Below are 20,652 nucleotides of genomic sequence, written 5' to 3' on the forward strand. Positions count from 1 at the left end.
AAAAAAAAAAAAGTTCCAATAGCAGACTGGGCAACATGGGGAAACTCCATTTCTACCAAAAATAGAAAAATTAGCCAGGTATGGTGGCACCTGCCTGTAGTCCCAGCAACTTGGGAGGCTGAGGTGGGAGGATCGCTAGAGCCCAGGAGTTCGGGACCAGACTGGGCGACATAGTGAGATCCTGCCTCTATTTTATAAAAAAGAAAAAAAAGTCACACCGACTCTGTATGATTTCTTGATTTTGCTTACAAAACGTTCATTATGCATATCAAAAGATAACTAAGAGGAAATATACCAAAATATTTGCACTTTCACCGTCTAATGGCCATTATCTCCAGAACCTGGTACAAAGCACGAGGCATAGCACTAAATACATTAAAAACAAGTAACAGAAAATGCATATGCGACAGAGGAGAACATGCAACACTTTTTTTTTTTTTTTTTTTTTTTTTGCTGTGTCGCCCAGGCTGGAGTGCAGTGGCCAGATTTCGGCTCAATGCCACCTCCACCTCCCCGGTACAAGCGATTCTCGTGCCTCAGCCTCCCGGGTAGCTGGGACTACAGGCATCCACCTCCATGTCCGGTTAATTTTTTGTATTTTTAGTAGAAATGGGGATTCGCCATGTTGGCCAGGCTGATCTAGAACTCCTGACCTCAGGTGATCCACCCACCTTGGCTTCACAACGTGCTGGGATTACAGGTGTGAGCCACCACACCTGGCCGGCAACACATTTTTTTTGGCTGAATGGACATGGTTATTGCTGAGTAAACGTATGGTGTATGATTTTATTCTTCCTTATAGTTTTAGATTCCGAATTTTCTAAAAGGACCTAATGTCATTGCAGATAGTTATCACATAAAGATAATGAAACAGGGGGAGTCAATGCCCTCCAATGGCCTCAAGCAGGAGTTAGTGACAAGGAACATGGCTCCTGCAACCACAGGTTCCTTTTTTTTTTTTTTTTTAAGACGGAGTCTCACTCTGTCTCCTAGGCTGGAGTGCAGTGGCGCAATCTCAGCTCACTGCAACCTCCGTGTCCTCGGTTCAAGCGAGTCTCCTGTCTCAGCCGCCCTAGTAGCTGGGATTACAGGCGCCTGCCACCACATCCAGCTAACTTTTGTATTTTTTTAGTAGAGATGGGGTTTCACCATGTTGGTGAGGCTGGTCTCAAACTCCTGAACTTGTGATCCACCCACCTGGGCCGCCCAACCAAAGTGCTGGGATGACAGACGTGAGCCACTGCGCCCAGCCACCACAGGTTCCTCTTTTTTTTTTTTTTTTTTGAGACGGGGTCTCGCTCTGACTCCAGGCTGGAGTGCAGTGGCGCCATCTGGGCTCACTGAAACCACCGCCTCCCAGGTTCAAGAGATTCTCCTGCCTCAGGCTCCTGAGTAGCTGGAACTACAGGCGCGCGCCTCCACGCCCTGCTAATCTAATTTTTGTATTTTTAGTAGAGACGGGGTTTCACCATGTTGGCCAGGATGGTCTCGATCTCTTGACCTTGTGATCCGCCCTCCTCGGCCTCCCAAAGTGCTGGGTTTACAGGCTTGAGCCACCGCGCCCTGTCTGACAGGTTCCTCGTTTTTGTTTTTGTTTTTTTTTTTGAGACGGAGTTTCGCTCTTGTCGCCCAGGCTGGAGTGCAATAGCAGGATCTCGGCTCACTGCAACCACTGCCTCCCGGGTTGAAGTGATTCACCTGCCTCAGCCTCCTGAGTAGCTGGGATTACAGGCGCCCACCACCACGCCCCGTTAATTTTTTGTATTTTTATTAGAGACAGTGTTTCACCATGTTGGCCAGGCTGGTCTTGAACTCGTGACCTCAGGTGATCCGCCCGCCTCAGCCTCCCAAAGTGTTGGGATTACGGACGTGAGCCACCGCGCCGAGCTGACAGGTTCCTCTTAAAGCCCTGAGTCCCAGGGAAGGGACCTGCAGGCCCGGCCACGCCCAGGCCGCTTTAGCGCGCCAAGATGGCGGCTGCCACGCCCCGCGGCCGGAGCCGAGTGGGCCCGAGCGCTTCCGAGCATTCCCGAAGTCCAGAGAAACTCCGGGAGCGGCGCGGGCGGGAGCGGCGCGGGCGGGAGCGGCCCCGCCCGGAACCTGGGAGCGGCGGCGCCGGCGCGGGGGAGGGGAGGCCGGATGTGAGTGGAGCGGCCATTTCCTGTTTCTCTGCAGTTTTCCTCAGCTTTGGGTGGTGGCCGCTGCCGGGCATCGGCTTCCAGTCCGCGGAGGGCGAGGCGGCGTGGACAGCGGCCCCGGCACCCAGCGCCCCGCCGCCCGCAAGCCGCGCGCCCGTCCGCCGCGCCCCGAGCCCGCCGCTTCCTATCTCAGCGCCCTGCCGCCGCCGCCGCGGCCCAGCGAGCGGCCCTGATGCAGGCCATCAAGTGTGTGGTGGTGGGAGACGGGTGAGTGCGCGGCCGGGGCCGGGCTGGAGGCCGCGGGATCGGGCGCGGAGGGGGGTTGGGCCCGGACTGGGGCCCAGGCAGGCCGGCGTCCGCCGCGGTCTCGCGTAGGCGGTGGGCCTGGGCCTGTGTCGCGGGGCGGGGGCCGCGGGCGGGCGCCCCCACCGGACCCTGACGGCCCGGGCGGCGCGTGCCTGGTTCCGGCTCTCGATGGAGGAGGGCCTCGCCGCTCGCCGGCTAGAGGGAAAAGTGAACTCCACCCTCCGGCTTTCTTCCCGGACGCCGCCCGCCGCCCTCCTCGGGAGCGCTCGTAGAGCAAGCGCTCTTGGAGATTTTGACCATTTTTCCAAAAAGGGACCCTTTATTTTTTTTGCATGAACCTCTCGATCCCCTTTTGAGAATTGGGTTGGGAACGCGGCGGTCAAGTCGATCATATTTGATGCATGCTTGATTGTACGGGCCGCTTTGGTGCCCCCAAACTTTTCTTTAAAAAAATTTTTTTTTCATAGACGGGGTCTCGCTGTGTTGCCCAGGCCGGTCTCGAACTCCTGGGTTCAAGCAATCCTCCCATCCCAGCCTCCAAAATGCTGGGATTACAGGCGTGTGCCACCACGCCTGGCTAATCTTTAAAAGTTTTTTGTAGAAATGGGGTCTCACTGTGTTGTCCAGGCTGGTCTCGAATTCCTGCGCTCAAGTGATTCTCCTGCCTCTCAGCCTCCAAAAGCGCTGGGGTGACACCGCGCCCGGCCTCTCAACTTATTTTCGACAGGTTTTTTGACTTACACTTCTGCCACTGTTAGGATTCTTAAAATTGTTTTCGCCCTTTCCGTGGAGAAAGTTTTGAAGATGCTGGCTGGGAGGAGCCGGCTGTAATGGGGGACTGTTTTTTCTTTTCTTTCTTTCTTTTTTTTTTTTAAACAACGTGGTGTGGTCATTGACAAAAAAACTGTTCTTTGCTTAACGCGTTAGGTATGGGATGTAGCAGAACTGGCCCCCTGTGACTCCAGGCATTGCTTTTCATGATTGTCCGTGATGGTTACAGGCCCTAGAGGAAGACAAAACTTGTCTTATGCAGTTTTTTTCTCCCATAGAAACAAGAATCTCAGTGTAACCCGAGCAAAATCGCGCGTCTCAGCGTTGCTTGTATAGGTTAGTGTTAGCGAGGAAGAATTACTACCAGTTTAATCAAACTCAATGCAACTGGTACATGTTGCAGTAAAGTCCAAGGAAAGTTCTGGCATCACGGTTAACTGGATTGATATTCTTCAAACTTATCATTAGGACAGATTTTGGTTCTTGCAATTCAGATGCAAGAAGGATAATTAGACAGCTGATTTTTGTAAGATGCCCATCTGTCGGATTTGTCTTGGAAGTGTGAAGGAGTATTAGAGTATGTAGGCTATTCAGGCTTTTTTTTTTTTTTTTTTTTTTTTGAGACGGAGTTTCACTCTGTTGCCCAGGCTGGAGTGCAGTGGCACGATTTCGGCTCACTACAACCTCCGCCTCCCAGGTTCAAGCGATCCTCCTGCCTCAGTGTCCTTAGTAGCTGGGATTACAGGCACGCGCCACCGTGTCCGGCTAATTTTTGTATTTTTTAGTAGAGACGGGGTTTCACCATGTTGGCCTGGCTGGTCTCGAATTCCTGACCTCAGGTGATCCACCCGCCTGGGTCTCCCAGAGTGTTGGGATTACAGGCGTAAGCCACGGCGCCCGGCCCAATTTTTTTTTTTTTTCTTTTCTTTTTTTTTTTTTTGAGACGGGGTCTCACTCTGTCGCCCAGGCTGGAGTGCAATGGCGCGATCTCTGCTCCTGCAACCTCTGCCTCCCGGGTTCAAGCGATTCTCGTGCCTTAGTCTCCCAAGTAGCTGGGATTACAGGCGCAAGCCACCATGCCCAGCTAATTTGTTTTTTTTTTTTTTTTTTGTATTTTTTTGGTGGAGACGGAGTTTCACCATGTTGGTGAGGCTGGTCTCAAACTCCTGACCCTCAAGTGATCCGCCCGCCTCGGCCTGTTTTTTTTTTTTTTTTTTTTTAAGTCATATTGCTGATAATTATTTGAAAATTTCTAAAACTAAAACATAAGCATAGCAGATACGTTTATTTAATACTAACCGATTGTGGACCTCTGCTGTTTGAATTGGCTGTTTTATCTAGTCAAATAACTTGTTGAATGTCATGGAATCTGGACCGTCCCTTCAAATCCCCACCCCACCGCTTACATGGGGTAACCCTAAGCACATCCCCCACCTCCCAAGAGAGGCGGTTCAATGGGAGGTCAACAAGACTAAACAAGATGTTGGTTATTAACTACCTCGCAGGTGCCCCTTGCTGAATGCTTAGTAAATGCCAGGTACTGTTATTGCGGTTTCTACTACTGAGACTCTGTGAGGGAGTATTAGGCTTAAAAGTCTGTGGCCTTGAGTTTTCAGTCTGTTTTTTTTTTTTAATTAGTTATGAGCATTTGAACAAGCACAGTTATTTTTTAATACTATGTTTAGTATTGATGTTGACTACAGCTAAGTGATATTAGAAGTGAAATGTACCTGGCCAGGTCAGGTGGCTCACACCTGTAACCCAGCATTTTGGGAGGCCAAGGTGGGTGGATCACTAGAGCTTAGGAGTTCAAGACCAGCCTGGGCAACATGGCGAGACCCTGTCTCTGCTAAAAATACAAAAATTAGCTAGGTGTAGACACATGTGCCTGTAGTCCCAGCTACTCGGGAGGCTAAGGTGGGAGGATCGCTTGAAACCCAGGAGGTGGAGGTTGTAGTGAGCTGAGATTGTGCCATTGCACTCCAGCCCGTGCGACAGAGTGAGACCTTGTCTCAAAAAAGCAAAAACAAAAACTATTAGAGATACGTCTTTGGCCGGGCACGGTAGCTCAAGCCTGTAATCCCAGCACTTTGGGAGGCCGAGGTGGGCGGTTCACCTGAGGTCAGGAGTTTGAGACCAGTCTGGCCAATATGGCGAAACCTCGTCTCTACTAAAAATAGAAAAATTAGCTGGGCACGCCTGTAATCCTAGCTATTCAGGAGGTTGAGGCAGGAGAATCGCTTGAACTTGGGAGGTGGAGGTTGCAGTGAGCCAAGATTGTACCATTGCACTCCAGCTTGGGTGACAGAGGGAAACTGTCTTTTTTTGTTTGTTTGTTTTTAAAGGAGATACATCTTCATCTGTTCCTGCTTTGACCCTTTGCCTGGACCATGGCAGTGTCCTTTCAGGCTGTACGTCCCTCCATCCTGCCCTCCTGTGCCTCTGCTTACACTGGGCTCTTAAGGAAACTCCTGCTCCTTGTCTCATCATCCCTAGGGATGGTTCTGTCTTATCATTTCTAGAATTGGATGCCTTGCCATCTTGTTTGCTCCTTAACTCTGCATACAGGGCTGTGTAAATAATTCCTTCATGAAAATCTCTATTTCAATCTTCTGGGATGAGTTTTTTCCTTCTGGGACCCTGACTGATAGAGACTGATAATACACCCGTATGAAAATATGTCTGCCAGGTGCGGTGGCTCATGCCTGTAATCTCAGCACTTTGGGAGGCCGAGGCAGGCGGATCACCTGAGGTCAGGAGCTCGAGACCAGCCTGGCCAACATGGCAAAACCCTGTCTCTACTAAAAGTACAAAAATTAGCCGGGCGTGGTGGTGGGCGCCTGTAATCCCAGCTACTCAGGATGCTGAGGCAGGAGAATCACTTGAACCCGGAAGGCGGAAGTTGCAGTGAGCTGAGATTGTGTCACTGCACTCCAGCCTGGGCGACAAGAGCAAGGCTCTGTCTTGAAAAAAAAAGAAAAAAAGTCAGAAATAATTTGCAAAGCATGTTAGAAAATTCTAGATTTCCTGAATAGCAATTTAATTGAGATTGGCCAAGAAATATTACATAGGGTTGATACTCTTTTATTCTAAGATAGTCCTTTCTGAGCATGGGGTCTATAATTTTTTTTTCCTCCACCTTACTGCTGCCCCACCTTTTAACTTTCACTTAGTGGACCTTTGCCCCAAGATTTTCTCTCAGCTTTTCCTAGGTAAGACAGCATCACCCGGGCGCGATGGCTCATGCCTGTAATCCCAGAACTTTGGGAGGCCAAGGCAGGCGGATTGCCTGAAGTCAGGAGTTCGAGACCAGTCTGGCCAATATGGTGAAACCCTGTCTCTACTAAAAATACAAAAAAATTAGCCAAGGATGGTGGGGGGCGCCTGTAATCCTAGCTACTCGGGAGGCTGAGGCAGGGGAATTGTTTGAATCAAGGGAGGTGGAAGTTGCAGTGAGCCAATATCGTGCCACTGCACTCCAGCCTGGGTAACAGAGTGAGACTCCGTCTCAAAAAGGAAAAAAAAGACAGCATCTTACATTCAGGTATTTATAAACAACTTTTATTATTTATTTGTTTTTATTTTATATTGGCTCACTGCAGCCTCCACCTCCTGGGTTCAAGTGATTCTCCTGCGTCAGCCTCCCAAGTAGCTGGAACTACACGTGCCTGCTACCATGCCGAGGTAATTTTTTTTTTTTTTTTTTTTTTGAGAAGGAGTTTTCGCCCTTTTTGCAAAGGTTGGAGTGCAGTGGTGCGATCTCGGCTCACTGCAACCTCCTCCTCCTGGGTTCAAGCGATTCTCCTGCCTCAGCTTGTCGAGTAGGTGGGATTACAGTCACGCTCCACCACACTGACTAATTTCGTATTTTTAATAGAGACGAGGTTTCTCCTTGTTAGCCAGGTTGGTCTCAAACGCCTGACCTCAGGTTATCCACCTGCCTTAGCCTCTCAAAAAGTACTGGGATTACAGGCATGAGCCACTACGCCTGGCAATTTTTTGTATTTTTAATAGAGACAGGGTTTCACCATGTTGACCAGGTTGGTTTCGAACTCCTGACCTTAGGCGATCTGCCCGCCTTGGCCTCCCAAAGTGCTGGGATTATGGGCGTGAGCCATCGTCCCTGGCCTAAACAACAGTTTTATTATTTTATTTTTTATTTTTTTATTGCTTATTACTATTTTTTGAGATGGAGTCTCGCTCTGTCACCCAGGCCGGGGTGCAGTGGCATGATATGGGCTCATGGCAACCTCTGCCTCCTGGGTTCAAGCAGTTCTCCTGCTTTGGCCTCCCAAAGTGATGGAATTACAGGCCCGAGCCACTGCGCCCGGCCACAACTATTTTAATAGTGTTGTTTTGGTGTTGGTTGATTAAAGGAATGGGAACGAATGACTTGAAGCCCTCTCTGTTTCACTCTTTATACAAAGTGGAGTCCAGATTGGGCTAGTGGCCTGTCTAGCCCAATGTCTGACTTGGACATACATTACTGTCCAGGAGTTTCTTAGCTGAATGTGAAAAATGCCTTCCGTGACATCATCCTTACAGGAACATTCTTTACATTTATTCTTTACTTCTGTTGAACGGTGGTGGCGTGAACCATGAATTTGTTTAAGCTTTTCAGCTGTTTTGTGTGTTTTCCTCTCAAGGCATGGGGTTTCATATTTTTGACCTGTGGTAAAGGTATTTGAATTCTGCACTGGCCTCCAAATGTAGGTGTAGTATATGGCTCTGATCTTTGTTGATGATTTTATACATAATGTGGTTTTTTTTCTTGATAAGCCAAAAAAATTATACATAATGTGTGTGTGTGTGTGTGTTTTAATTTCAAATGATAGTTACAGTAAAAGTTTGGAGTTGGGCTAAGTGGGAGGAGCATCAGGAAGCCATTTTTAGAAACCTTAAATTCACCCTTTATAACTTTCTGTCTTTTTGCATTAGTCATCTGATACCTTAGTACTGCCTACTTTTTCACATCTCCATCACTACGTAGCTCTTAAAATTGTAGTCTTCCTTGAAAGGAGATGTTTTTGTCAAGAGTCTTTGCCACCAAGGCAGGATTGCATGTGATCAGTAGGAATATTTTCCTGCAATGTCTTAATATGAAAAATTTCAAACAGACTAGTGGAAAGCATTGTACAGTCAACATGCACATACCCATGGCCTGGATTCTATGACAGTATTTTGCTCTACTTGTTCATTTTGCTGTATTTGCTTTATCATGTCTTCCTGTTATCAGAGGGAACCTTTTAAGAGGATTTATAGAGGAGTTGATTTTGTTTTTTGTTTTGTTTTGTTTTGCTCTTTTTGAGGTGGAGTCTTGCTCTGTTGCCCAGGCTGGAGTGCAATGGCATGATCTCTGCTCACTGCAATCTCCGCATCCCAGGTTCAGGCGATTCTCCTGCCTCAGCCTCCTGAGTAGCTGGGCTTACAGGCACCCACCACCATGCCTGGCTAATTTTTGTATTCTTAGTTGAGACAGGTTTCACCATCTTGGCCAGGCTGGTCTGGAACTCCTGACCTCAGGTGATCCACCTGCCTCGGCCTCCCAAAGTGATGGGATTACAGGCGTCAGCCACCATGCCCGGCCTGATTTTGAAAAAGAATAGGGACTGTGTGCAGTTACATATAAATTCTTATTTTTGAACTCTTGTGTGTTCAGCTGGCTTGTATCAACTACACCAGGGTTAGCCTTGATTCTGGAAGGGTGGATTCAGACTTCAGCTCAGTTGTACATAGTGTCTTCAGCCTAAGTGAGAAACTTTATGCACTATCTTAATTTTTTGAAGCTTCTAGTGGTAATAATTGCTGGCTTTTTTTTTTTTTTTTTGGTAGAAACAGAGTCTTGCTCTGTCGCCAGGCTGGAGTGCAGTGGCACGAAATCAGCTCACTGCAACCTCTGCCTCCCAGGTTCAAGCAATTCTCCTGCCTCAGCCTCCTGAGTAGCTGAGATTACAGGCGTGTGCCACCACACCCAGCTAATTTCTTTTGTATTTTAGTAGAGACGGGGTTTCACTGTGCTGCCCAGGCTGGTCTTGAACTCCTAAGGTCAGACAGTCCGCCCACCTTGCCCTCCTAAAGTGCTAGGATTACAGGCATGAGCCACCGTGCCTGGCTTATGGCTAGCTTTCTTTACATTGATTGTGAAGTCAGATATTGGTAGTAGAACATCATAATTTTAGATTGGGTTTTGTGTTTATTTAGCACTGCACTACTCTAGTGGTGTATTTTTCTGGACAGATTTTATCTGCATAGTTAACGCAGTTATATATAAGGCCTACCGTTACAGAATCCCCATACCTTGTTTGTCAGTGTAAATCGAGGACCTTCATGCGAGGTCTTTAATTTATTCAATAAGTAGGAATATATATTTGACAGTTACTAAATTCTACTGCCTTGTCCTTAAGATCTACATACTTTTTTTTGTTTTTTGAGTCAGAGAGTCTCGCTCTGTTGCTCAGGCTGGAGTGCAGTGATGCGATCTCAGCTCACTGCAACCTCTACCCCGTGGCCTCAAGCGATACTTCTGCCTCAGCCTCCTGAGTAGCTGGGATTACAGGCGCCTGCCACCACACTCAGCTAATTTTTTGTATTTTTAATAGAGATGCAGTTTCGCTGTGTTGGTCAGTCTGGTCTCGAACTCCTGGCCTGAAGTGATCCACCCGCCTTGGCCTCTTGCTGGGATTACAGGGAAGAGCCACTGCGCCTGGCCAAGATCTACTCACTTTTAGACAGCAATATATGCTCTGTATTTTGGTTTGCAATTGTAATTGTCATTGGAAGAGTTTGGCTTTTCTGTCCTGAGATCAACGTGTCTTTAAAAGAAGGCAGTGCAGAAAGTTGTTATTTTTTGAGCTTCTTGGATCTTTTATTTTTTTAACGTGAGGAAATTCCTAGCGTTTCTAGATTTGTTGATTGTGCTTTTAAGTTTTGGTTTATAGATTTCAGGAAGTAACACTAAAGTTTACCCTACTCTCCTCAAAAAGTAAGTAAAAAGTTCTCTTGGCTGGGCGTGGTGGCTCACGCCTGTAACCCCAGCACTTTGGGAGGCCGATGGGGTGGATCTCCTGAGGTCAGGAATTCGAGACCAGTCTGGCCAACATGGCAAAACCCTGTCTCTACTGAAAATACAACAACAAAAAAAAATTAGCTGGATGTGGTGGTGCTTACGTGTAGTCCCAGCTACTTGGGAGGCTGAGGCAGGAGAATTGTTCGAACCCAGCAGGCAGAGGTTGTGGTAAGCCAGGATTGCACCATTGGGCTCCAGCCTGGAAGACAGAGCCAAGACTCCGTCTTAAAGTTCTCTTAATGGAAAAATGAAGAACATAATAGCAACATAAGTTATTTGCTTTCATTGTGGTTATTTCTACAGGACAGGGCAGGGGAAGCACAGATAGGTTAAAAAAAATTGTAGCATCATGAGCTAGGGGGAAATCCAATGTAGAAATGGCATGAACTTTCTTCCAGCCGACTCATGTTCGTTTCCTAGAGTGATGACATTGCTCGATGATTGAAAAGAGGTTGAACTGAGCAGTTAATTATATAAAGTTAGAAATTCCAAAGAAGTAGTAACTACCAGAAATTCTCCAGCAGTATCAGTCAAGACTTGTGGCCAAATACGGCTTCCATTCTTCATGAGGGAAAGGCCATGGAAAGGCTGTCACATTGCCCAGTGCAGATGTTGACTTGGTTTGTGGAAGCGCAGCGTGGACAAGGAATGAATATACACTAATAGGAGTGGAATAACCTTTTTCTTTTACCTATTTGAATAAATTAAGTAAAAGTTTTAATCAGAAGACTTAAAGAGGAGTCGATTTTATCTTTTGATTGCACTAAGCTTAAATATAAGGTTGCACTTTAAGAATTCTGTAGTTTAATAATCATATTCTTATAAGACATAGATTTGTAACAAATAGTGATTGGTAATAAAATTTCAGTCAGTATCAGATTATGCCAGTACCTTGAATTTCTTCCCGGTTGAGCCTTTCTCAGCTAAAGATGTCATTCAGGAAAGGAAGTTTAGAGGATTTTAGACACAGCTGGTTGCCTTTATATTAGTAGTTTTGTTCCTCATATACATAGAGACTTAGGACAGAATAGTAAAAGAAGTGATAATGACATTTTATCATAACAGTCAAAACCTTCATAGCAGCTTATCCTTGACACTGAGTGGCAACTATTGTTAAGGTTTTTACACAACCTTTATCTTTTTTTTTTTTTTTTTTTTTTTTTTTTTTTTTTTGAGACGGAGTTTTGCTCTTGTTGCCCAGGCTGGAGTGCAATGGCGCAATCTCGGCTCACTGCAACTTCCGCCTCCCGGGTTCAAGCGACTCTCCTGCTTCAGCCTCCCGAGTAGCTGGGATTACAGGCATGCACGCCCGGCTAATTTTGTATTTTTAGTAGAGAGGGGTTTCTCCATGTTGGTCAGGCTCTTCTCGAATTCCTGACCTCAGGTGATCCGCCCGCCTTGGCCTCCCAAAGTGCTGGGATTACATGTGTGAGCCACCGAGCCCAGCCAACCTTTATCATTTTTAAAAAGGTCCCTTAGAGCCTTAGGCTCCACTTTCTTCCTCAGCTGCCACATCCAAACCATGGGTAAGCGATGCTTGATCTGCCTCCAAGTTCAAGCAGTCCAGGAAACAGCCCACTTATGTTCACTGTCCAGTCCCCATTCTTGGTCCAGGCCACCATGGATGGCTCCTGGACTGTAGCAACAGCTTCCATGTGTGTCTGCCTTGACTGAGTCCCTGGCGTCCTCAGGCTTCCTGCCACACTGCAGTTGGAGGCTTCTTCTAAAATCCAGTGCTTTCTGGGCAATTTAAAACCTGTGACTTTCCAAGTAGGATCTAGTCCCCATGTCCTTAACAAGAAGAGGTAACGTATTTCCCTATGCCACTGCCCACTTATTTTTTTATTGTTGAGATGGGATCGTGCTTTGTCACCTAGGCTGGGTGGAGTGGTGTGATCACAGCTCACTGCTGCCCTGAATTCCTGGGCTGAAGGGATCCTCTTGCTTCAGCCTCCTGAGTAGCTGGGACTACAGGCAAGAGCCACCACTTATTTTTGAATTTTTTGTGGAAACAAGGTCTCCCTATGTTGCCCAGGCTGGTCTTGAACTCCTGGGCTCAGCGATCCTCCCACCTCAGGCCCCTGTGCTGGGATTATAGCCTCCTGTGCTGGGATTACAGGCCTAAGCCACTGCACCAGGCTTTTATTTTTTAATTTAAAAAAATTTATTTTTTTGAGACAGGGTCTCACTTTGTCCCTCAGACTGGATGCACTGGTGCAATCTTGTTTCACTGCAGCCTTGACCTCCCTCCTGGGTTCAAGTGATCCTCGTGCCTCAGCCCCCCAAGTAGCTGAGACTACTGCTGCACACCGCCACACCCACCTAATTTTTGTATTTTTAGTAGAGAACGGGTTTCTCCATGTTGGCCCAGCTGGTCTTGAACTCCTGGGCTCAAGCGATCCACCCACCTCAGCCTCCCAAAGTGCTAGGATTACAGGCATGAGCCACCATGCCTGGCCTAAAAATATTTTTTTCAGCTCTAGAAATGTTAGCTCTTTTGCTGTACATTTCCAGAGCTGCTTTAATAATGACAGTTATCACACGCATAATTTCATGTGATGATTGCATTCTTAATTTTTAAATTTAACAACTGCACTTACTTCATGAGGTCTTGTTCATTGATACATCTTTAGCACCTAGTGTGCTTCTGGTGTAGCACACGGTTGATATAAATTGAAATTGAATTAATGCTCACAGTAGTTTGGGGATGGAGCTGGTAGTTCTGCATTAATTTTGCAGGTGAAAAAAAAAGGCATGAGGAAGTTGAAACTTGCCAAAAAATACAGCCAGTACGTGCTAGAATTGGCCCTGGGTCTCAAATCTGGGCTTCTGACTCCAAAGCTTAGGCTCCTGCTCATACAGGTTTATTTTCACATTCTAAGCTTTTAACGAAATGTATGTCCAATGAGTCATTTCTGTTTAGAAAGCCTTTAGGAGTTGGAAGCTACTTCCTGGTGATGTAATGTTTGACTCTCTAAAGTCTTTGGAATGGGGAGTTCCAACTTTTGTTAAGCCCTCAATAATGTCATGAGTGAATGAATATTGGCAAGACTGGCTGGGCCTGTAATCTGCCTTGAGTGTGAGGGAAAATGGAAAAGCGCTTAACTTTATGGTGAATTCTAATTTATAGTAGTTGAGATTGAACGACAAAAATCTTAAAATTATGATGCTGATGTGTCATTGTGACCTTGGTAAACTGACAGCACAGCAGAGAGAAGGGCTCATTAAGGAGAGCACTTGGCTAACTGAACCCTCAGGATGCCAGAGACTTGAATTCTCATGTAAGCCCTTAAGCTTGCCTTGTCAATGCTGTAAAAATTGGAGACCTTTATGTTTTGCTAATGATGTGGTGACCTTAGTTATTAGGTGATAGCCTCTTGAAAAACATTCCAGGTGGTTGGGAGACTTTCAGCCACCACTCTTCTGCCTGGCGGCACACTGGTAATATTAGGATTAGTCTCTACCCATTGCCAGTTGTGCAGGTGGTGCTCCTTTCTCTGAAGTATTTCTACACACTTCTCTGTTTGGCAAGTTTAACTCCCATCGTCTCTGAGCTGTTAATTAAATGTCTGGGATGTATTGTGATAGTCCCTGCTTATAGACTTATGGTGCTGTGTGAGGATTGGGGCTGGGGGAGGTGGCATTTAAATACAGCTGAATCAATGTGATGGCAGTTACGTGTGGTAGTTTATTGACTAAGCACTTTCTCTCAAGAGAACAGTCATTGCTGATTGCCATAGGGGAGGCTGTAGGGATGTGGTGGGATTTTGAGCTGTCCCACTTAAGGCAGCAGAATAAGTTACTTAAAGAGGAAGGCTGTGTTTGTATATTAGTGTTAATTAAAATACCTTTAGGCTGGGTGTGGTGGCTCCAGCCTGTAATCCCAGCACTTTGGGAGGTCCAGGTGGGCGGATCACTTGAGGTCAGGAGTTCGAGACCAGCCTGGCCAACATGGCGAAAACCCATCTCTACTAAAAATACAAAAAAATTATCCAGGCGTGGTGGTGGACAGCTGTAATCCCAGCTACTTGGGAGGCTGAGGCAGGAGAATCGCTTGAACCTGGGAGGCAGAGGTTGCAGTGAGCCAAGATGGTGCCTCTGCACTGCACTCCAGCTGGGGCGACAGCACGAGACTCGGTCTCAAAAAAAAAAAAAAAAGAAAAAAAAGAAAAAAAGAAAATATCTTCAGGATCAAACTTAAGATTCTTGATGAGAGGCTCTACAGATGTTCACAGAAGAGACGTGAAGTTTTAAAATCTTGTTTCTCTTGAGTCTTGTAGCTAGGTGACAACTGTTTCTTGACTATTAATGCTAACACCGGGTACCTAAACAGAATGTGATGGCTCCTGACTCTATCTTTCTGAGAAATTCTAGTTTGTTTACTTTAAATTTCAGGGTACCAATGTGTATGTGGTGATAAAGGGTTATAGAAAACATTTTCTTTAATGCTAAGTATGTGATGTATATGCCTTGATTTTTTTTCTCTAGAAATTATTTTAACTTAATAGTGAAAGCTAAGATTACATTCATGTTGACTAAGCAACCTTTTTTCTCTTTCTCTTTAGAGCTGTAGGTAAAACTTGCCTACTGATCAGTTACACAACCAATGCATTTCCTGGAGAATATATCCCTACTGTGTAAGTATCTTAAATTGGGAATTAACCTGTTTGTGTTACGGGTTTCACATTTCTTTGACCATTTGTTTTGCTGTAAAGCCATCTTTAATCCTCATATGAACAGATACTAATTTTTTCTTAAACATTCACTGAAACCTAATTATAAGGTATATTAGGCTTTTAAAAAATAGGGCTGGGGGTGGTGATCTCAGCACTTTGGGAGACTGAGGCGGGTGGATCAACTGAGGGTCAGGAGTTCGAGACCAGCATGGTCAACGTGATGAAACCCCATCTCTACTAAAAATACAAAAAATTAGCCAGGTGTGGTGGCGGGTGCCTGTAATCCCACATACTTGGGAGGCTGAGGCAGGAGAATCACTCGAACCGTGGAGGCGGAGGTTGCAGTGAGCCAAGATCACGCCACTGCACTCCAGCCTGGGCAATGAGAGCGAAACTCCATCTCAAAAGAAAAAAAAAAAAGAAACTTAGGGTAATATAAACTTTTCACAACTTTGCTAGTTGATTTTTAGACATCCAGAAAGCAAACTTTAACTGTCTGTGAGGTACAGAGACTGGATGATGTTAAAGAAAACCATAGTTGGACACAAGAACTCTGACCAAAAGTCTGATCAGAAACAGTCCTTGTCAGTGCACGAGTTTCAGATACACTGGCTTTCTGGGAACTGGAAAGGGAAAGATTCCATTACGTTTTAATTGGCCTTTTCTGATAAGTCATCAGTTGGTTACATGTCCGCATTGAGGTGTAGGGCTTTGGAATTGAAACTTGGGTGTGTGTGTTGAAGGGGGAATGGGAGGGTGGAATTGGCTATTGAATTGCTTACTCCCTATAGGCAGCAGAATTGGGTGGAGACAGGAAAGTGCTGCTCTGGTGATGGGTTACCCGGGAGCGCACGTAGCTGAGCCTCATAATGCACCATCCTGCAGCTGCTGTGAGTCCTCCCTGTGCAGGCTGGGGAGGTGTCGCCTCCTCCCCACCTGTGTTCACCTCCTCAGGCACAACACACACCCAGGTGCTCTCTGAAGTGTCGTACCCATGTTTTTGTTGTTGTTGTTGTTGTTTTCCTTTTTTTTTTTTTTTTTTGGAGTTAGTCTCTCTCTCTTGCCCAGGATGGAGTGCTGTGATGCGATCTCAGCTCACTGCAGCGTCTGCCTCCTGGGTTCAAGTGATTCTCTGCCTCAGCCTCCCAGGTAGCTGTGATTACAGGCATACACCACCACACCTGGCTAATTTTTGTTTCTTTAGTAGAGACGGGTTTCACCATGTTGGCCAGGTTGGTCTCAAACTCCTGACCTCAGGTGATCTGCCCACTTCAGCCTCCCAAAGTGCTGGGATTACAGGCGTGAGCCACGGCACCCATTTTTTACTGTAAGTGGAATCATGCTGTCCCTGTTGTCCTAAATTTATGGGGGAGATTTTCCTTATCTACATATGTAGATAAAGGTTTAATCATTAATGATTAATGATTTTGAAGTACTATAACTGATTTAACCCACTGGTCACTTGGACTCTTGGTGTTAACAAACATTGCTGGGTTCAGTGTTGTCCCTTATGTCTTTGTGTACACTTGATAGATTATTAGAAGCAAAATCGTGCCAAATCAAAAGACAATGGATGTTTTAAATTTTGGTAGATACAGCTGGGCGTGATTGCTCACGCCTGTAATCCCAGCACTTTGGGAGGCCAAGACGGAAGGATCACTTGAGGTCAGGAGTTCGAGACCAACCTGGCCAACATGTTAAAACCCCCACCTCTGCTAAAAATACAGTAGTTAGCCGGGTGTGGTGGTGCACTCCTGTAGTCCCAGCTACTCAGGAGGCTGAGGCATGAGAATTGCTTGAACCCGGGAAGCAGAGGTTGCAGTGAGCCAAGATTGTGCCACTGCACTTCAGCCTGGGTAACAGAGTGAGACTCTGTCTCCCAAAAAAAAAAAAAAATTAAAAAATTATTTTTTGGTAGATAACTACCAAATTGCTGTCTATAAAGCTGTCACTTTGCTGGCCTTGACTTAAGTGGCCTCTTAGTACACACTGCCATTAACGTGGGTTGAAGTTATCTAACCGTTTTCATTTCCAATCACAGATGTGGTTAAAATCTTTTGAATTTTTTTTTTTTTTAATTAAAAAAGTTTGCTCACGCCTGTAATCCCAGCACTTGGGGAGGCTGAGCTGGGCGGATCACTGAGGTAAGGAGTTTGAGACCAACTTGGCCAAGATGGTGAAACCCTGTCTCTACTAAAAATACAAAAATTAGCTGGGCATGGTGGCACATGACTATAATCCCAGCTATTCGGGAGGCTGAGGCAGGAGGATTGCTTGAACCTGGGAGGTGGAGGTTGCAGTGAGCCAAGATTGTGCCTCTGCACTCCAGCCTGGGCAACAGAACAAGACATTGTCTCCAAAAAAGAAAAAAAAAATATGTGTTTTTGTAGAGCTATGTTTTGCTATATTGCCCAGGCTGGTCTTGAAGACCTGGCCTCAGGTGATTCTCCACCTTGGTCTCCCGAAGTGTTGGGATTACAGGCGTGAGCCACCACACCTGGCTCTTTTGAATGTTTACTGTACATTTTTAGTCTCTTGTGAATTGTCTGTTTAAATCTTTTGTATTTTTCTACTGAAATTTTTTCTTACTGATGGAACATTTCCTTCCTTCCTTCCCTCCCTCCCTCTCTCCCTCCCTTCCTCCCTTCCTTTCTTCCCTCCCTCCTCCTCTCCCTCCCTCTCTCCCTCCTTCCCTCCTCTCCTACTCCTTCCCTCCTTCCCTCCTTCCTTCTCCTTTCTTTTCCCCTCCCTCCCTTGCTCCCTCCCTCCCTCCCTTTTTTTTTTTTTTTTTTTTTGAGATGGGGTCTTGCAGTATTGCCCAGGCCGGACTTGAAGTACTGGTCCTTCCACCTCAGCCTATTGAGTAGCATGCTCCACTGCACGTAGCCTGATGGAACGTTTTGTAAATAATCCTCAGTCTGTCATTTGTCTTTGTACTTCATTATGGTGTCTTCTGCCATATAGAAATTTAGCATTTAATGTAAATAATACCACCTTACCCGGGCACGGTGGCTCACACCTGTAATTCCAGCACTTTGGGAAGCTGAGGTGGGCGCATTATGAGGTCAGGAGATCAAGACCAGCCTGATCAACATGGTGAAACCCCATCTCTACTAAAAATACAAAAATTAACCGGGCATGGTGGCGTGCACCTGTAATCCCAGCTCCTCAGGAGGCTGAGGCAGGAGAATCACTTGAACCCAGGAGGTGGAGGTTGCAGTGAGCCGAGATCGCACCACTGCACTCCAGCCTGGGTGACAGTGAGATTCTGTCTCAAAAAAAAAATAATAATAATAATGATAATACCACCTCTCCCTCAGAATTGTATGTTGTACTTAGAAAGGCCTTTCCTACTTAAATAATGCAAAAGTATGCTCTAGTATTTTTTTCTAGGATTTTTGTGGCTAAAATTTTTATCTTTAATTCATTTAGGACTTATTTTTGGTATAGAATGAGGCAAGGACCTGATTCTTTTTCCCTTATGGGGAAAAAAAGTCACAATACTATTTATCCAATAATTTTTTTCTTATGGAAATATAATTAACATGTCCATCACCATCACACCTTTTCTTTCTTCTTCTTCTTTTTTCTTGAGACCGAGTTTCGCACTTGTTGCCCAGGCCGGAGTGCAGTGGCGCAACTTGGCCCACTGCAACCTCTGCTTCCCGGGTTCAAGCGATTCTCTTGCCTCAGCCTCCCAAGTAGCTGGGACTACAGGTGCCTGTCACCACGCCCTGGCTAATTTTTGCATTTTTAGTAGACACAAAGTTTCGTCATGTTGGCCAGGCTGGTCTCGAACTCTTGACCTCAGGTGATCCGCCCACCTCGGCCTCCCAAAGTGCTGGGATTACAGGCGTGAGCCACCGTGCCCAGCCTCTGCTTTTTATTATATTTTTCCTTTTTTTTTTTTTCTTTTTTGCCTTCCTGTGCAGAGGAAACACTATTTTCTTCTAAAGCTTGGTTTCTGCTGACCAGTAGCAATTTTTAACATCAGTCTGATTTCCCTCTGTCAGCCTATAGGCTTTGCTGGGTTATCTCTCCTGACTAATTTGTGTAGCAACTTCACATGAATTTAAACATTTGTATCATCAGTTAACACTCACTTTGAAAATGTTATTGGGAGGCTTGTTAAGTCAGGTGTATTTTGTGTGACTGCTCTACACTCAGGCCTTCTGGAAACCCTGCAGAGGGTAGCTCTAGTGGCCAGCTAGCTCTCTTGCTGAAAATGAGCAACATAAGTACATGAAAAACCCAACAAGTAGGATTTGAAAGCGGGGCTAATTGTACCCTTATTTCTTCTGGGGATAAAAGTCTTAAACTTTGTTTAAAGTAAAATGTTTTTATTTCTGACGGTGATTTGTTTCACTTAAATAGCTTGTTGTTTGTTTCTTTCATTTCTCTTAAGTTTTGGGTTGGGTTTGGTTTGTTTCCCGCAAGTTTTGCCCGTGCCGCCTTCCTCCTTGTGCCTGCAGGGACATTTGCTGGTGTGGCAGCCTCCAGGCCCGTCCCCAGCCTTTTTCTTGGCACACCTTCTCTAGGATGGCTGGGACAGTGACTTAGCTTCTACACCTGTGACTAACCATTTTCATTCCATTCTACAGCTTTGACAATTATTCTGCCAATGTTATGGTAGATGGAAAACCGGTGAATCTGGGCTTATGGGATACAGCTGGACAAGAAGATTATGACAGATTACGCCCCCTATCCTATCCGCAAACAGTAAGGATTGCAGCTGACTTTTAATGTGTCTTTTAGAGTATATAATTCTCGAGCGCTTAATTAGTGCATGTTACCTATGGACTTGCTTATATTGCCATCATTTGGGTATTGAGTAAATAGCAAACAGGGTGGGATTGGTTCCATGTAAACATCCCCCTAGATGCAAGCCCAGGGGTTTTGTGTTTTGAGCGTTACCAGCTGTTCCATTGTTGGGCATTTTACAGTCTTCCATTTAGCTTTAGAATAACCGTATGAAAGAGCTACTTTTTGTTTTTGCAAACCAGTTTTTAACACCAATTAGTTTGAAGGCAGGTTTGCTGTGTGACATTTTTGTACCACAGAATCAAATTAGGCAGTTAAGATTCAGGTTTCTTTAAACCAAGTTAGTAACTAATCTCACAGGTTTAATACATTTTTTCCCACAAAATACATAATTTGTATGGATTTTGTGAACCATACAATAGAACCTAAATTTATTCAATGTAGATTGAAGTTTTGGTTTTGTAAAATGTATCCACTGTGTCTAATCAGAAAAAAAAGTTTACTTTTGCTTCTGTATCAGACAACTAAGTGATTTATTTACCAAAGCTAATTAGAGCAGTAGCTGGTGAAAATGGGTACTTAGAAGACATTGTTGTCATTAAAAGTTACTTTTCTTTAAGCAGCGGTTTTACTTGTGTATCATTTGCTTATCTTGTTACATGTTTGTTCTTCATTTTTAAAAGTATCTTTGGAAGCAAAAGTTAAATATGCTTGAGATTCCTTGGGTTGATAACCTGTGTGCATGTCCTAGCTCTGTGACTTCAGGCAGGCTTCATCCTCTCTCCAGTCTTTGCCTGTTTCCTTGTAGGGTGAGATGAGTACGTGTCACGCACGCATAACAGTCCTGGGCACATAGCACACACTGTGGGGCCAGCCGCTGTCAGAATTCTCCTGTTCCTCAGTGTGCGGGTGGGTCGGCCTAAAGAGTGCTGCT

At 45.6% G+C, this 20,652-nt stretch overlaps 1 protein-coding gene across 2 annotated transcripts in view, besides 2 other annotated features; it reads left to right on the forward strand.

Moving 5' to 3' along the window:
- Nucleotides 1,422-1,471: a silencer, noted in NCBI's record as "silent region_17941". NCBI's record gives its function as "represses an Ori minimal core promoter by ATAC-STARR-seq in GM12878 lymphoblastoid cells {active_cell/tissue: GM12878}" and the evidence as "EXISTENCE:reporter gene assay evidence [ECO:0000049][PMID:35858748]".
- Nucleotides 2,032-2,601: a silencer, noted in NCBI's record as "silent region_17942". NCBI's record gives its function as "represses an Ori minimal core promoter by ATAC-STARR-seq in GM12878 lymphoblastoid cells {active_cell/tissue: GM12878}" and the evidence as "EXISTENCE:reporter gene assay evidence [ECO:0000049][PMID:35858748]".
- The window catches only part of RAC1 (Rac family small GTPase 1), a 29,441-nt gene continuing 10,950 nt past the window's right edge, over nucleotides 2,162-20,652 (forward strand). For both annotated transcript variants that reach the window (NM_018890.4, NM_006908.5), the window contains exons 1-3: nucleotides 2,162-2,405; nucleotides 14,847-14,918; nucleotides 19,559-19,676. In NM_018890.4, coding sequence (NP_061485.1) covers nucleotides 2,371-2,405; nucleotides 14,847-14,918; nucleotides 19,559-19,676 — 225 coding nt within the window. In that variant the 5' untranslated portion in view covers nucleotides 2,162-2,370. The remainder of the gene's footprint in view (nucleotides 2,406-14,846; nucleotides 14,919-19,558; nucleotides 19,677-20,652) is intronic.

Source organism: Homo sapiens, chromosome 7, assembly GCF_000001405.40.
Source record: "Homo sapiens chromosome 7, GRCh38.p14 Primary Assembly".
In the NCBI taxonomy this organism is placed as follows: Eukaryota; Metazoa; Chordata; class Mammalia; order Primates; family Hominidae; genus Homo; species Homo sapiens.